Source organism: Homo sapiens, chromosome 15 (assembly GCF_000001405.40).
Source record: "Homo sapiens chromosome 15, GRCh38.p14 Primary Assembly".
Lineage (NCBI taxonomy): Eukaryota > Metazoa > Chordata > Mammalia > Primates > Hominidae > Homo > Homo sapiens.
In genome coordinates this window covers 77223277-77241199 of record NC_000015.10, presented here as the reverse complement: position 1 = coordinate 77241199, position 17923 = coordinate 77223277, and the positions used below count along the sequence as shown (strand labels likewise).

Here is a 17923-nt window from a genome sequence, read left to right as displayed (position 1 = left end):
TTTATGGATTTTTAAAAAAAATTTTGGACTTTCTGTATATTCCAGGATGAACCGCACTTGGTTGTGATGCATTATGCTTTTTACATACAACAGGAACATTTTGTTGAGATGTTTGTGTTTATGAGAGATATTGGTGTATAGTTTTTATTGATTTTTTTAGTACTGTTTTGCCTCTTTTAAATTTTTTTTTCTGCCAAACAAATTATACCAAACATTTTGCCTGATTTTAGCATCATGGTGAAGCAGATCTCATAAAATGAATGGGAAGTATATCTTCCTCTTCTGGAATAGACTGTTCAGAATTGAGATTTTAATTTGCATGTCACTGAAGAATAATGACATTGAATACTCTTCCATGTGCTTATTGGCCACAGAATTTGTTTTTGAGGATTAGTGTCAGACTTACTATGTTAATATATATTGAATTCAGCCAGAGTTGGGCCCTCTTAAGGTTTAGTTTAGGTCTCTAAATGAAGGTGGTGTTGTCAGTTTTACTATGATTACACCCGTAGATTTACTTTTACAATAAAGTTTTTAAAACTGAGGCCATATTGTTTAATGTATATGATCATTAATAATTTATAAACATAAGCTTTTTTTTTTTGAGACAGGGTCTCACTCTATTGCCCAGGCTCACGGCACCCTCAACCTCCAGGGCTCAAGCAGGTCCTCCCACCTCAGCCTCCCAAGTAGCTGAGACTAAAGACACAAGCCACTACACCAGGCTCATTTTTTTTTATTTTTTGTAGAGACGGACTTCCTGTGTTGCCCAGGCTTGTCTTGAACTCCTGGGCTCAAATGATCCTCCCACCTTGGCCTCCCACAGGGCTTGGATTACAGGTGTGAGCCACTACACCCAGCCAAACAAAACATTTGTAAAGAAACAAGAGAAAATAATTTTTCTCTAATGTTGAAATAGTGAAGTATTATAGTTGTATTTGGAAATGAATTAAAACTTTTATAAGAATTCAATGAATATTACCTATTAAGAAGTTGTTTTGCCAAGTGGCATATGAATGTTTCTGAATGACACAGATGATAAAGATATGAGCATTTACTTGTCAGCAAATGGGCATCACTGTGTTTTGCTAGTATCTAAGCATTCCTGAAAATGGAGCTGTCTCCAGCTGGTTGTAATTAGGTTTGGATAATTTCCTGCCTGGAAGACACTAAAGTTTCTTTAATTTCTGGGATCCACAGCTTTCTAGTTATTCTTATTTCCTGCAACTTAAAAGTGCTCATCTATTTGTCATAGTATTTTAAAAAATACAAACAGAAACATATAATTAGGTTGCCATTATTATTGACAGATTTTACTCTCTCAAATTTGGAAATGTGGAATTGAGCAGTTGTGTGATTTCCTAGAGAGTGGTCTTTGAAAGATGCATTGAAAGAAGAATGTTAAAAGAGCCCAGGAGGTATGTAATATGTGACAGGAATACTCTGTAAATCCCATAATCTTGCTCAGTTTGTAAATCTGGTAATGATTGTCAGCTCCTGTGACATCTGGAATTAAATTTTAGTCATTGTAAGATTTTGACGTATGAAGGGACATCCTATTTCACTTGATCTTCCTTTATGCCATGTTTTTCATCTACTTACTTATACATAGCATTAGAAGAGCTAACATTTAATAAGCATATGCTGTTTGCCATGCATGATACTAGTCTCTCTTCTTATATTATCTCTAGTCCTCACCACAATTTTGTAAACCCAATTTACAGCTGAAGAAACTAAGGCTCAAAATGTTGTTTTTGCCTAAAGTCATATAATTTAGTAAGTGGTGATTGAACTCAAATTAGTCTGATCCCTAACCTGCAGTTTTTCTGCTACTGTACCAGTGTTTCTTACCCTTGTTCAATTAAAATAGAATTTCTGGGGTTACACTTTGATATTTGAGTAATGTGCATCTAGAGTTAGAAACTACTGGATAAACACCCCCTTCTTACTATTATGAGATCATATTTTAGTAGAAGGGAACGTATAGTAAAAAAGCACATTTTCCCTTAAAAGTATGTACAATATTGTCCATTTATCTCTGCCAAAACATATCTATTTGAAACTTCAGTACAAGATGGTACATTGAGAACATGCTGCAACCTCTCCTTGCTACTACACATTCCTAAAAATAATCCTCCTCTCCCTCTCTATAGAATATATAGTACCAATTAAATACAACTGTGATAGGAAACAGCAAAACTTCCAAAAACCATGGAGAGCCCTTGATAAATGGCATTAGAATGCAGATAAGAACTATAATCTAAAATATGTGTAGGACTGGAATACTGCAAAAGGTATGAATGGCTATTTGGGGATTCTTTATGTCTAGCCTCCTGGACAAGGAGACATGTAGAACTACCTCTCCCTACCTTCACAGTTTTTTCTTGGTGTTTGACATGCAAAAACAAGAAATTTGGGTGATTTAAAAGCCAAGGGAGTACTCCCAATGCTGTCAATATCCAGAACAGATAGGAAACCCCTAGAACACTAACTATCCATTTTAACTACCCGGTGGCACATCTTTCTCCCCCGACTCATGCTACTGTAATCACATACAGCCATCACAGACTAATAGGATATCTCTAAAGTCCAAAAAAGATAGGGTCACAACCCAGAATCACAAAATATTTGAAGAAAACTAATATCATGAAGGAGAGTACCAAACTATATAAATGGAAGAACTAATGCCCAAGGGATAAGAGTTAATAAAGAAAGCAAAACAAGAGTTTTAGAATAAATATAATTACTGTCCTCAGAGACATGCAGGATGACACTGCATTCATCAAAAAAGAAAACTTTAGAGCTTTTTGAAGTTAGCAATTCAAAAGAAAGGACAAACAGGAAGAAAAAAAAGGCGAGTTGAGAGACACTGAGGATAGACAGAAAGAGTAGCAACCAGCAATAATCCTATAATTACTAATGCTGGATGCAAAAAGATAGTGGGATAGTATATTTTAAAATTCTTTGGGAAAATAATTTTGTACTTAAGAGTTCAATACCTGCCCAAATTATAAAACTGACATTTTTTAGACATGCAGTACTCATGATAAGCATAATTACTAGACGAAAAGAAACAATATTTTCGTTCAAAACCATTAGGGAGAAAGAAAAATGGAACATAGAAAATTCAGTAAAGGCAGCATATAGCTGGAAAAGAAAATACAGAAGCTATAAGAAAACATGAGAAATAGAAATACAATGTAGAATGGTTGCATTCACTTATTAAAGGGTAGCCTCTCAAATCAGTTTGAAAAATGTTTGCTGTTTACAAGGAGCACATAAAACATAGACTAGAAGGTTGAGAAAAAGATTAATCAGGCAAATAAAAAGTAGTAGGCATAGCAAGAGAATTCAAAGCAAAAACTCATTCAATTAAAAGAAACGAAGAGATATTTCATTATCATCTTGGTAAATTGTTTTATAGATATGAATTCACTTAGCAATATAGCTTTGACATAAAGAGAAGAAATCTAATAATTTTTTTAATGTGATAAAAACCAAGATCATAGTGGGAGATTTTAGCACACATCTTTCAGAAGTTGACAGAACAAAGTAGAAAAAAATAAATACATATATTTATGTAACATGAGCAGTTAATGAGCTTAATGTAATTGATATGTAGAGATAAACATTCAGTATACAAGAAACAGTCACAAAAATTGATCAAATATTAAAACACAAGGAAATGTAAACAAATATTAAAAGAAAATTATAGGCGCCATGTTCACAGACCACAGAAGGTAAAACTGGATATTTGAAAAAAAAAAAAGTTTAAATAGCAGGAATAAAATAAAGTAAAAATGGGAAATAACAAACATTTTAGAAATGTATGATGCCAAGAGCCCTACATATGAAAACCTGTGGGATGGTGTCAAAATTTACTCAGAAGAAATTTACAGTTTTTAATGCATTTCTTAGAATATTAGAGAAATTTAAATTTTTAATCATTTTTATAACTTTTTGTACTTTATCTTGTAGAAATATTTTAGGATTTACAATCTTTTTTAGTGAAACATTTATCCAAAAGTAACTAATATCTTCAGTGTTACTTGTTTCTTCTGTTTAATTCATGTAAAATTAAATCTCCTTATTGTAAAAACTGCATTCATAGTATAAGCCCACTTTAAAAAAAATTATTTTCTAGCCAGGTGCAGCAGCTCACACCTGAGTAATTTATAAAGGAAAGAGATTTAATTGACTCATGGTTCCACATGGCTGGGAAGACCTCAAGAAACTTAACAATTATGGCAGAAGGCGAAGGGGAAGCAAAGCACCTTCTTCACAAGGCAGCAGGAAGGAAAAGTGCCAAGTGAAAGGAGAAGACCCCCTTATAAAACCATCAGATCTCATGAGACCTCACTCACTATCACTAGAACAGCATGGGGGAAACTGCCCCGATGATCCCATCACTTCCCACCAGGTCCCTCCTATGATACCTGGGGATTATGGGAACTACAGTTTAAGATGAGATTTGGGTGGGGACACAGCCAAACCATATCATTCCATCCCTGGCCCCTCCCAAATTTCATGTCCTCACATTTCAAAAGACAATCTTACCCTTCCAACAGTCCCCCAGTCTTAACTCATTCCAGCATTAACTCAAAAGCCCGACTCCAAAGTATCATCTGAGACAAGGCAAGTTCCATCCACCTATGAGCCTGTAAAGTCAAAAACAAGTTAGTTCCTTCCAAGTTACAATGGAGGGAACAGGAATTGGGTAAATACACCCATTCCAAGTGGGAGAAATTGACCAAAACAATGGGACTATAGGCCTCATGCAAGTCGGAAACGATAGGGCAATTATTAAATCTTAAAGTCCCAAAATGATCTCCTTTGATTCCACGTCTCACATTCAGGTCATGCTGATGCAAGAGGTGGGCTCCCATGGCCTTGGGTAGTCCTGCCTCTGCAGCTTTGCAGGGTACAGTCCCCGTCCCAGCTGCTTTCACAGGCTGGCACTGAATGTCTGCCGCTCTTCCAGACGCACAGTGCAAGCTGTCAGTGGATCTACCATTCTGGGGTCTGGAGGATGGTGGCCCTCTTCTCACAGCTCCACTAAGTAGTGCCCAGTGGGGACTCTGTGTGGAGACTCCAACCCCACGTTTCCTTTCCACACTGCCCTAGCAGAGGTTCTTCATGAGGACTCTGCCCCTGCAGCAAACTTCTGCCTGGATATCCGAGTGTTTCTGTACATCCTCTGAAATCTAGGCAGAGGTTCCCAAACCTCATTTCTTGACTTCTGTGCACCCACAGGCTCAACACCATAGGGAAGCCACCAAGGCTTGGGGCTTGCACCCTCTGAAGCAATGGCTCAGGCTATACTTTGGCCCTTTTTAGCCATGCTGGAGCTGAAGCAGCTGGGACGCAGGGCACCATGTCTTAACACAGCATAGAGCAGGGGGGACCTTGGGCCCAGCCCACAAAACCATTTTTCCCTCCTAGGCCTCCAGGCCTGTGATGAGAGGGGCTGCCTTGAAGGTCTGACGTGCCCTGGAGACATTTTCCCTATTGTCTTGGTGATTAACATTCAGCTGCCCATTACTTATGCAAATTTCTGCAGCTGGCTTGAACTTATTCCCAGAAAATGGGTTTGTCTTTCCTATTACATTTCAGGCTGCAAATTTTCCAAACCTTTATGCTCTGCTTCTTCTTGGATAGTTTGCTGCTTAGAAATTTCTTCTGCCAGATACCCTAAATCATCTCTCTCAAGTTCAAAGTTCCACAGATCTCTAGGACAGGCGTAATGCACAAGAGTCACCTTTGCTGCAGTTCCCAAGCCTTATCTCTATCTGAGACCACCTCAGCCTGGACTTAATTGTCCATATCACTATCAGCATTTTGGTCAAAATCATTTAACAAGTCTCTAGGAAGTTCCAAACTTTCCCACATCTTCCTGTCCTCTTCTGAGCCCTCCAAACTGTTCCATCCTCTGCTTGTTACCCAGTTCCAAAGTCACTTCCACATTTTCAGGTATCTTTACAGCAGTCCCCTGTGACCTTGGTACCAATTTATTGTATTAGCCAGTTCTCACATTGTTAGAAGGAAATACCTGAGACTGGGTAATATATGAAGGAAAGAGGCTTAATTTACTCACAGTTTTGCATGGCTGGGAAGGCTGCAGGAAACTTAAAATCATGGTGGAAGGTGAAGGGGAAGCAAGGCACCTTCTTCACAAGGTGACAGGAGAGAGGAAGTGCAAGCAAGGGCAACGCCAGATGCTTATAAAACCATCAGATCTCATGAGAACTCAGTCACTATCATGAGAATAGCATGGAGGAAACCGCCCCTTGATCCAGTTCTCAAGGGAGGATTGGATCTCTCGAGGCTAAGAATTCAGGACCAGCCTGGGCAACAGAGCAAGACCCTGTCTCAAAAAAATATATATATTTTTTTTTAATTAGCTGGACATGGTGGTCCATACCTGTAGTCCTAGCTACTCAGGAGGATGAAGCAGGAGGATCTCTTGAGCCCAGGAATTCAAGTCTGCAGTGAGCTATGATCTTACACAAATTTTTTTTAAATTAAAAAAAAAATTTTCTGTAATCTCAGTATCTCTCCAATTCTGTGTGTTCATCCATTCATTTCTGTGTATACTTAGAGAGATGTGTGGAATGGTACTCCACTAATATTAACACCTTTTCTTTCTGGGTAATGGGACATTGGTTGATTTATTCCTTTTACTATTTTGTGCTTTTATGTATTTCTTACATTTTTCATGGAAGCATGCTTTATTTTATAAAAATTAAATTATTTGCTTAAATAAGTAAACAATTGTGTTAAAGATTTTTAAAACGAATGACAAAATAATTCAAAGAAAATAAAGGACCAAATTAATAAGGATGAATGCAGAAATCCAACAGCAGTGTTCATTAAAAGATAAATAAAATAGATAAATCTTGGCAAGTCTGAAAAAGAAAGAAAATATATTAATCGATATTGGTAATTTAAAAAGGAAGCATAACTAAAACTACAGAAATTTGTAAAATTATAAGAACTTTTATGCATAAGGTTTACAGTAATAAATGTGAATGCTGTGTGGGCACAGTGGCTCATGCCTGTAATCTCAACACTTTGAGGGGCCTGAGATGGGAGAATCACTCAAGTCTAGGAGTTCAAGACCAGCCAGGGCAAGTTGGCAAGATCCCATCTCTACAAAAAGTTTAAAAATTAGCCAGGTACAGTGACACCCACCTGTAGTCATGGCTACTTGGGAGGCTGAGGTGGGAGCATCACTCGAGCCCAGCAATTTGAAGCAGAAGGGAGCTATGATCATGCCACTGCACTTCAGCCTGGGCAACAAAGTGAGACCCTATGTCTTTCAAAAAAAAGAGAGGTTTAATAAAATAAACATGAATGCTTAGACATAATGGGTAGTTTTCAGAAAAATATGTTTTATTCAAATTGTAATAAGGAATGGTAAAAACTCTGAATTAATAATTATAAGAAGGAACTGTTGTTAAGTGTGATATCCAAGTGGAGATGTCAAGAAGACGGTTATACAAAAAATACTAGAGTTCAAAATAGAGAAATGGACTGGAAATAAAATTTGGGAGTAATAAGAATATAAATTAGATGATATACACAGGATTGGATAAAATCCCTTAGGGCAAGAGAATGGATAAAGATGGGAAAAGGAAGATAGGGATATTTTTGGTCACTCCAACACTGAGAAATCTAGTACTGAAGAAGCCAATGAAATAGGCTAAGATGGAACTGGACAATGAGTTGGAAAGAAAACCAGAAAAGTGTGGTAACCCAGAAGCTAGAGAAGGAAATACTCCAGGAAGAATGGAGTAATCAACTATATGAAATGATAATAAAAGGTTTGATAAGGTGAGAACAGAGAATTAGCCAGTGGTCTTAGGGGAAATACAGTCTTTGGACACCTTAATTAGCAGAGTTTTGTTGAACTGATGGGAACAAAAACCTGAACTAAGTGGATTGAGGAGAAAATGGAAGGTAGAAAGTGAAGGGCACTCTTTTTAAGTAGTTTTGCTTTAGAAGGTAATGGAGAAATGCAGTGGTACTTAGAGGGAAACCGGAGTACAAGGGAAAATTATTTTGTTTTTTAGGATGAATGGGATTATGGCACATTCATACACTAGTGGGAATTATCTGGAATGGAGAAACTGATGATGCAAAAGAGAAAAAAGGACCGGGTGCGGTGGCTCACGCCTGTAATCCCAGTACTTTGGGAGGCCGAGGCAGGTGGATCACTTGAGGTTAGGAGTCCGAGACCAGCCTGGCCAACAATGTAAAACCCCGTCTGTACTAAAAATACAAAAAATTAGCCGGGTGTGGTGGCAGGTGCCTGTTATCCCAGCTACTCAGGAGGCTGAGGCAGGAGAATCGCTTGAACCCAGGAGGCAGAGGTTGCAGTGAATAGAGATCACACCATTGCACTCCAGCCTGGGTGACAAGAGCAAGAATCCATCTAAAAACAAAACAGAGAGAGAAGAAAGGTATTTCAAGAACATTCCTTGAGAAGTCACAAGTGGATGAGATCCTGGCCACAAGTAGAAAGGTTATCCTTAAAGAAGAACATTAACACTTCTTCCATTGTAAAGGTAGAAAAGGCAGTGTGTGTGAGAGTAGATGCAGTTAGGTTGGTAGAATTTTGGGGAACATGAGATGAAATTCATCTGGTTGGATCTATTTTTCCGCTGAAGTATGAGGCTAAGTAGCGAGTGACCTGGGGAAGGGATGTTAGAGATTTGAGAAGACTAGAAGATTGGTGAAACTCTTATCTCAAAATGGAAAGGTAAATATATAGAAAGAAGTGATTGGATTCTGTATCTGACAGTGTTAAATCCCCATTTGAGATTTGTGATAATAAATTTTAAGTGAGCACAGTTGGCACAGTGTGTGTGTGTGTGTGTGTGTGTTTCCTGACACTGTTCATCTGCTCAGAAGCAGGCTTAGTGTAAGCTCATGGTTGGGTTGGCATTTTACTAGTAAAGACAGGGAAGGAGAGTCAAGAGAGTGTTTGCAAAATGGAAAACATGATGATTGTTCATGGAATTTAATATGGGTAAAGAGCGAAGTGAGAATACTGATTAAAATGATAAGGGCAATGATTTTGTATCTCAGTGAGATCCAAGAATTGTTGGAGTAAGCCTCTACATTTTAAGCAAACATCTCAGGTGAGTATGATTCCTGTGGGCTGTGGGCCACTCTTGAAGAAACCTTCACAATTGCTTTGGGTCATAATAGTAGTATTAAAGTAATACCTGTGTTTTGTTTTGTTTTGTTTTTCAAATTTCACTGTATATCTATTTAAACATAGTCAGAAGTACTTTTAAGAAAATGAATTTGTATGAGTGTGTAGGAAGATACTGATTATCAAGACTTCAGTAGTGAATAGACTACTGCTTGGAGGAAATGAGTGTAACAATTATTCTCATATAAATTTAGCTTTTAAAATATATTATTAGATGAACAGCTGTTGCATTCTACCTCCATATGTTACAATTTCATATGCAATTAATTACTCAAATATTTAACCTGTCATTTATTTCTGGAGGTTTGAATCTATATTTATTTTTCAAATTTGAAGTTTTTGACCATATCTGAAAAGAAAATTATACTCTAAAACTTTTTTTTACTTACAAGAAAATTCTGATCTTTCAGTTTCATTTGGGCAGTTAACCAAAGGGAAGATGTTATCTTTAATTACCTGAGTTATACCTAATTCTGCAAGTGCAACTTGTTCTCAGTAAAACTTTTGTCTAATTTTAGCTACTTCCCTTTGCTTGCAAAGCTATTGCAATTTTCTTATTAAATTCAATTTGCACCTGTCTTGAAAGACTTGATGAAAAGTGGACAGAGTAGGTTAAACCAGTAGAGATTCCTTTTTTATTGAAACCCACTTATATGTAGCATTTATTTCTGAGCTTCACTGAAGAAACATCATGAAATTAGTGGAGCCTATTATACTTTTTTTAACTACTGAATTTATATTGCAAGAAAGGTTAGAATGGTTTCCCCCACATCTATTCTCAATTAACTGTAGCTGTTTTATTATGAATTTGGTGGGGGCCTTTTTTTCAAGTACCTCATATCACTGTTTATTTACTGTGATTATTAGATGCCTTTGGATTATTGTATACATTGTTGATGCTTTTTATGACAGCTTAAATCAGTCATCAAATATTATATATTACACCCAACACTGGGCTGGTCCTATAGAGAATACAAACTAAACACAATAAAGTCTCAGATCTTTTTTTTTCCTTTTAGATGTGTATATTATCCCCTAATTTTTGGTTTTTACTTCTTCATACTAGTACTACATGCTATAAACCAAATTATGCTTCTTACTGGGTTTTTGTGGTTGGTTTGGTTTTTTGTTTTGTTTTGTCTTGTTTGAGACAGGGTCTCACTCTGTCTCCTAGGCTGGAGTGTAGTGGTACAATCATAGTCCACTGTAACCTCAAACTGCTGGACTCAAGTGATCCTCCCGCCACAGTGAGACAGAATCTCATTGTGTTGCCCAGGCTGGTCTCAAACTCCTGGCCTTTAGCAGTCATCCCACCTTGCTTTCCAAATTGGTGGGATTACAGGTATGAGCCACTGTGCCCAGCTCACTTCTTGTTGTTTGATAAATAGATCCCACTCATTGTTTCTGTGTCTCTTCTGTGCTGTTTCTCTTCCACCTTCTTTCCAATTCTGAGTAATCTGTCCTCATTAAGACTCCCCTCAGGCTGGGCACAGTGGCTCATGCCTGTAATCCCAGCACTTTGAGAGGCCAAGGCGGGTGGATCACTTGAGTCAGGAGTTCGAGACCAGCCTGGCCAACATGGTGAAACCCTGTCTCTACTAAAAATACAAAAATTAGCCTGGTATGGTGGTGCACACCTGTAATCCCAGCTACTTGGGAGGCTGAGGCAGGAGAATCACTTGAACAGCTGTGGTGGAGGTTGCATTGAGCTGAGATCGCACCACTGCACTCCAGCCTGGGCAACAGATCAAGACTCCGTGTCAAAAAAAAAAAAGACTTATCTCAAATGCTGTCACTTGCATGATGTCTTTCCAGACACTTCCTTCACCCAATAAGTATTTTATAATAGCATTTATAATGTTTTCCCTGTCTTAAATATTGGTATATTTTATATTATTCTCCCCCTCACTTGAAATTATCTCTTTGAGAATGGTGTCTTGTTTTACTAATCTTTGTATATACCATGTCATAGCTGGCACATATTAATCACAAAATAATATTTGTTGAATCAAAGGTTAGAAACAGCTAAAGAAATCCAGGTGTCGTGGCTCACACCTGTAATCCCAGCACTTTGGGAGGCCAAGGCCGGCGGATCACCTGAGGTTGAGAGTGTGAGACCAGCCTGACCAACATGGTGAAACCCCGTCTCTACTAAAAATACAAAATTAGCTGGGCATGGTGGTGGACGCCTGTAATCCCAGTTACTCAGGAGGCTGAGGCAGGAGAATAGATTGAATCCGGGAGGGAGAGGTTGCTTTGAGCCGAGATTGTGCCATTGCACTCTGGCCTGGGCAAAAAGAGCGAAACTACATCTCAAAAAAAAAAAAAAAGAAAGAAAAGAAAGAAACAGCTAAAGAAGAGGAATGCATGTAACAAAAATGGTCAGGAATCAGATACCTCTGGTCATGAGAGAAGTTATTAATGTTGATTTACTGGAGAGGAGAGGACTTGAGCTGAGCCTCATGCATGGGGACCCTAAAGTAAAACCCATAAGAATGATGAGTGCCATGAGAATAATAAATTCTGCTTTAAGATGGCAGTTTTCTGAAATTGGGTAAATAGAGGAAATTTGTTATTTGTTCCCTGCTTGCCATTTTATGAATGATACAGCCTTTCACACAGTTGAATGTATTGGAAACAAAATCATACCTAGTGCAGAAAATCTTCATTGTGTTCTTAGAGTAAGGATGTCTCTGCAGGTTATTACTAGCCACATTGTGAAAGGTGCTAAACTTCAATGAAGTGCTCTGCCTCATGTTTTTTTCAAATGTAGTAGAAAGGCCTTAAGAAAGGTATATCTTATTTGAGGCCCTGGAGATTGTTTTCTTTCCCAGGGACTTGGTACCTGATCTCTGTTGAGTACTCCACAGTCTCTTGGAATGGTTTTCTAGGGGACTGCCTGGTTCAGAATGGGGAAGTAGGTCCTGACTGGCTGCTGGAATGAGAACCTCTGGAGTAGCCTGATAATAAAAGGCCAAACTTTCTAGGGCCAATACATCCTGAGTCATAGAGAAGCCACATAAAGAGTCCCCTATGGCAGAACTAAGTCTTCTAGAGGAGAGTAATGCTGTTCAGACTGTCAAATGAAGGACCTGAAACCAGGGCTAGCTTATCCCATTAGAACCTAGAGTCCTCAATACTTTTAGGGGCACATGAAAATACTTAATGTCTTTTAAAATTAGAAGGAAAATACCTTTTACTGTTGAACAAAGTATTTTAATATATAACATTAATATATTTGTCTTCATACCAAAGTAGTCATAAAGTATAGTTTTTAATTTTTTTAATGGGGAAAGCACCAAAAAGACAAGTATCAAAAGCCCATAAAAGTCATAATTGGGCCCTGCCTGGGACCTACCCATCCTCTCAGGGTTTGTGCTAGACTGTGAAAGAGCAGCAAGTTCTGGGCAAAGGTGTGATATTTTAATCCAGTTGTTCTCTCTCTTTACACCTTAATATCTTCATCTGTTTGATGAGGACTGTGGACCAGGCAACATTAAGGGCCCTTGCAGGTCAAACTTTATTAAATGAAGTCCTGCATCAGAAGCTCTGCACAAGTTCCAGGCCAAAGCAAATTATCTAACTTGATTTTATTGTCAACTCATATCTTTGATGACCCATAGGGACCCAGAACAGGCCTGCTAGCCACCCTATAATTTTTGTGAGCCCACTCGAAAGTACATGTTCATAAATGTTAGAACATGAGAATCGTGGTATTATAATGCAACTGGTAAAAGATTAGAAGTAACTAAATGATGAGTTAATGGGTGCAGCACACCAACATGGCACATGTAAACATATGTAACAAACCTGCACGTTGTGCACATGTACCCTAAAACTTATAGTATAATAATAATAATAAATAAAAAATAGAAATAATAAAAAAGTAGTAAAATACCTTATATGTTGTAAGTGTCCAACAAATATTTATGAATAGATAAAATATATATGTAGAATATTAGCTTCTTTTCTTTTTTCTTTTTTGAGACAGTGTCTCACTGTATCTCCCAGGCTGGAGCGCAGTGATGTGATCATACCTCACTGCAACCTTGAACCCCTGGGCTCAAGTGATTCTCTTGAGTAGCCTCCCAAGTAGCTGAAACTATAGGTGAGCACCACCATACCAGGCTAATTTTTTTTTTTTAGTTGACCTGGAGCCTTGCTATATTGTCCAGGAAGGTCTTGAACTCCTGGGATCAAGTTATCCTCTTGCCTTAGCCTCCCATAGTGCTGGGATTACAGGCATGAGCAACTGTGCCCAGCCTCATTTTCTTAAGAGAAAAATATATTTACTAGAAAAATTATTAAATCATAGGACTTTTTTCTTATTTATTCTCTGCAGCAAAACAGCATAAAACATTTTGGAGATGGTTGTATCTAAAGTGTTTAAATCTCATTTCTATAAATTGTAAACTTCTGAAGATTAAGCCCAGAACTCTTCTAAATTGTTGTTTTCTGTATATTTATTTGGTTTTATTCTTCTTGGTCTAATCCTAAGTATGTGCTATATTAATATATTAGAGCAATATTGCTCTTACTTCTACTTTTCCTGTCTGTATGTTGTTCATTTTCATATTATGGGTAGAAAACCATCAGCCCCTGTTTGATCTTCCTACTATAGTCAATGTGCCTCTGTGTTACTTATACTACTCCACCCCCCTTATTTGTTTAGGGATATCATGTATTAGAAAATGGGATGATTTAATGGATGCCTACAAAATATGTAATAAGAATGGTAAATTTGCTGAAAAACAAGTAATTACAAAATGATAAACTTATTCTAGATTGCCATTTTTGTTTTTCCAGTCTAGTAATAAATACAAGTTCTCTTCCTTTGATATACATCAGAAGTACCTGAACTGTTTCAGATGTTTGAGCCCCCTCTCAGACCTGCTGGCTTAGGATCTATGGGAATGCAACTCATGCATCTGTATTTTAATAAAGATTACAGATGATTGTGACAGGCACTAAAGGTTGAGGACAACTGCCATATAGTAAAATAGAATTGTAGACTCTGGAGCTAGATAGATCTAAGTCCAGAGTTCAGACATACCATGATCTAAGTGTATGATCCAGTCCTAGGTCTATGAGCAAATCACGAAATCTCTCTGAACTTCAGTTTCCTTGTCTATAAAATAGGGGTGGTAATACGTTATAAGGAAGTAGAGGGATTAAAGGAAACAGTAGATAAAAAGTGCCTGGCATATGTTAAGTGGTAACTATTGTTATTCTGGTAGCATGACATTATCCTCAGTTTTCATCTTGACTTATGAAGAGTGAGGTGTTTCTCACAGTAGCTCTTTTCTGCATCCAGAAGAGTATGCAGAACTTCTCAAGCTATCTTTTCGTGAGACAGATTTATTTTGGGCTTTGAACTTTCCTCCAAGTTTTTATTTGGACTATTCAGAAAATAGTGTCAGAGAAAATACATGGCATCTCGGTTTTCAAATTCCACAACACTCTCTGGAGTGGCTAATTATTTCTGGACCCTGTTACAAAGTTATTCATTGTCTTATGTTAAGAACAGATATACTGGTATATCATGAACTTGGGACATAAACTTACTAGTTGCAAAACCATAGAACAATGGATTTTTGTCAGTGAAACATATGAATACCTAATTCGTTATCATGGCAACTTCATCTTTATATGTTTATGTTGTCAGTGTCTGGATTTGTAAATGATAATGTTTCAGATTTTCTTTTCAAACATCTCAGATCAAATATCAAAGACAGGGTTTTTTTTTTTTCTTGAAATATCTTTAGAATGTTTAACTGATAATGTAATGCAAAAAGCCACAAGAGAAAAGAGAACTATTGTTCTGTTTCCTGGTAATGGTCTTTCCTGTCTGTATTACATTACACACATATATATGTGTGTATGTGTGTGTAATATATATATATATATATATATATATATATATATATATATATATCCCTTTATTTTCAGTTGCTGTGACTGACAGAATTAAAAAGAAAGCATTGATTTTTTTTTCTTGGTTAAGGATCGATTAAATACTTAGAGCGTAATGCTCAGCATAAACATTTCATTTACATGAACTTTGCCTAGCATTTAACAAGACTATGGCTAGCTGCATTCTCTTATGAAATACACATTCACAATATCTTCTCAGTGAAGGGGCCATTTCTTTATGACTGTGTGTTTCGTCATATATTGAAAAACAGAGAGTATATTAACTATTTCAAATGTAAACATTACGAGTGTTAGAGATTACATAACTTCATGCTTGGTGTACCCTTTCTACTTCTTTCTAGAATTGTCATATATATATATATATATATATATATATATAAATTATACACACACACACACACACACACACACACACATCTGTAGAAAGTCTTGCTCAGATTTCACCATTGCTTACTTCTGGACCAGAACACCTTATAGGAAAATTTCATGTCACAACTATTTTTAAGCAGAAACTGCAGCAGATGAGGATATAAATAGATGGAAACAGTTTTAACCACCTATATCTTTATCGATCTTTGACTCCAAGCAGTTGCAAGCTTGGCATTATGGTTTATCTGAAAAACTATTCTAGTATAGCACCAGTTAATGAAATAAATTGTCTGCTATATATAGGTTTTGTGTGAACATACAAATGAAATGTACTGTCTCAGAATAATGTGGTTGGGGAAATATCTGGAGACAAATACAATGCAATTGCAACATAACAGTTACACACCAGACTCTTAACAGGAATAATGTAGTGTGATACTTGAAAGCCTAAACTCTGAAATGAGATTGCCTGAGCTGAGATCTCAATTCCTCTAACTATGTAACCCTGGGCAAGTTACTTCAAAGTGCCTCCGTTTTCTTCTCTGCAAAATAACCATTGATTTGAAATGTGGAGGATTTTGAAACCTAAGCTAAGAAATGTGGGTTTGATATGCTGAAAAATAGGGAGCTACTTAAAATTTTTGAACAAGCAAGTCACATGATGAAATTAATTGAGGAACATTGTATTTGTGATTGCATATGGATGGAGTGGGAGGACCTAGAGGCAAAGACATTAGATAGGAGACCACCAGAACAAACTAGACGTGAAAGGTGCAGCTGTGGAAATGGAAAGAGATGGGCAAAACCAAAAATCACCACAGAGAAAAAAAATCATCCAGATTTCATGATAGATTGGATGTATTTTGAAACACCTCTCTCCATACAAATGAAATAATTCAGCAAAATTCTAGAAAATGCTGGTGTAGGAGCTCAGTGGAAATCTCCCGTAAGTGCTGTGAGAAATTATAAATTCTGGGGACTCCAGCTGATACAGTGTGCATTCACTTACAGCTTCCTTTGCCCCTTTGTACACTAGAGCACAACAGGAAATATTGGCTTATCTCTGTAGGAAGTGTCTCTATAGGAGTTGCTTACTGAACTGAATATCTTTGTTTAGAACTAATTGACCTTTCTAAAACAGCATTTTTAAAGAGCTTACTCAAATAAGGCAGACTTTAACCATCTGATAAGTCAGAGACAAATCAGCCCTCTTCTAAGCAAGGTTGACAGTCAGTGCAAGAGAAAAGAAAGCACAGAAAGAAAGGCACCATCAGACAAAAGAACAGTGTATTAGTAAAAACCAGATAATTAAGAAAATTTTATTTAATGTGAACATTGAATTCTAACACAAATCCTTTTCCTGCATTATGATAGTATCTGTGTGAACCAACCTTTTTTCAGCCCTTTTTGTTATGGAATGTTAAGAATGTTAGTTTACAAGGTTATAAAGTAGAAGAGTCTAATTAGAAACCAGAAAATATCTCAGTCTTTTGGTCTGAATTTGTTTTCCTTTGGTTAGATTCTTAAAGTAGAAAAAAAAAAACTACTACTTATTTTGTAAACATTTTGAGGATTTTGATTCAGATATTTTAAATTATTATGAGAGATAAAGAATAACCCTGTCCAAAAAAGTAAGAAAATGAATAAAATTTGTTTAAAAGAGGATTCTCTTAAAATATAACCAAAGGGACAGATTTTGACAGCAGTCTTCATTGTTGTTCCATATGAGTGTTTTCTAAACCTAACAGATGTAAGCAATAAATAAGTAAAAAAAAAAAAAAAAAAAAAAATCTCTCAAATGAGGCTATTGGTTTCCTTCAAAATTAACTCATCATCTGGTCAGATATTTCCAGAAATTGTTTTTAACTATCTGGCAGAGCTACTGTTTTCAGTGAAGAGAGGGATCCAACAGTGATTTGATGTTTTAGTTTATATAACAGGACAGTGGTAGTATCATCAATCACTTAGCAGATTTAATTAAGTATTCTCTCTATGGTCAAATGCATTACCATTCTTCCCACTAGTCTAATAGTTTGAGTATTGGCTTGCTATTTAAGAGAAGTAAGTTATTTTTACAAGACCTTTTGTCTTGACAAAATAATCCATAACTCCTTTCCACTAGCCACAGTATTAGAGACTACTGTCGACACACACACAAATGTGTTTTGTGGGGTAATATCCAGATTGCTTGCTATGATAGTTAAATCATGTGGAAAACCTTGAATTTTGATGAAGACAGCTCTTGCTTACAAATGCATTTTATCCCCACAAAACATATCTTGGCTCTGATTACTCTAAGGTAAAACTCTACTAAACATGTGCTGCTGCTTTGCTTGTACTTGGGTGGAAGCTATGAGTGAGTGAGTGAAAGGTGCAAATGAAACTAAGTTCTTACCAGGT

The 17923-nt window shown here is 36.8% G+C and overlaps 1 protein-coding gene and 1 long non-coding RNA gene across 35 annotated transcripts in view; both read left to right on the top strand.

Annotated features, from left to right (window-relative positions):
- Nucleotides 1-17923, top strand: part of PEAK1 (pseudopodium enriched atypical kinase 1) — a 320261-nt gene that overhangs the window by 179715 nt on the left and 122623 nt on the right. For 27 of the 34 annotated variants that reach the window (XM_047433077.1, XM_047433076.1, XM_047433057.1 and 24 more), the window contains one exon: nucleotides 1311-1418. The exons of the other annotated variants lie outside the window; for them this stretch is intronic. The gene's annotated coding sequence lies outside the window, so the exon portion shown is untranslated. The remainder of the gene's footprint in view (nucleotides 1-1310; nucleotides 1419-17923) is intronic. 34 annotated transcript variants of the gene reach the window in all.
- LINC00597 (long intergenic non-protein coding RNA 597) lies at nucleotides 15796-17307 on the top strand. Its single transcript, NR_026813.1, has one exon. It is a non-coding gene; the product is annotated as a long intergenic non-protein coding RNA 597 (long non-coding RNA).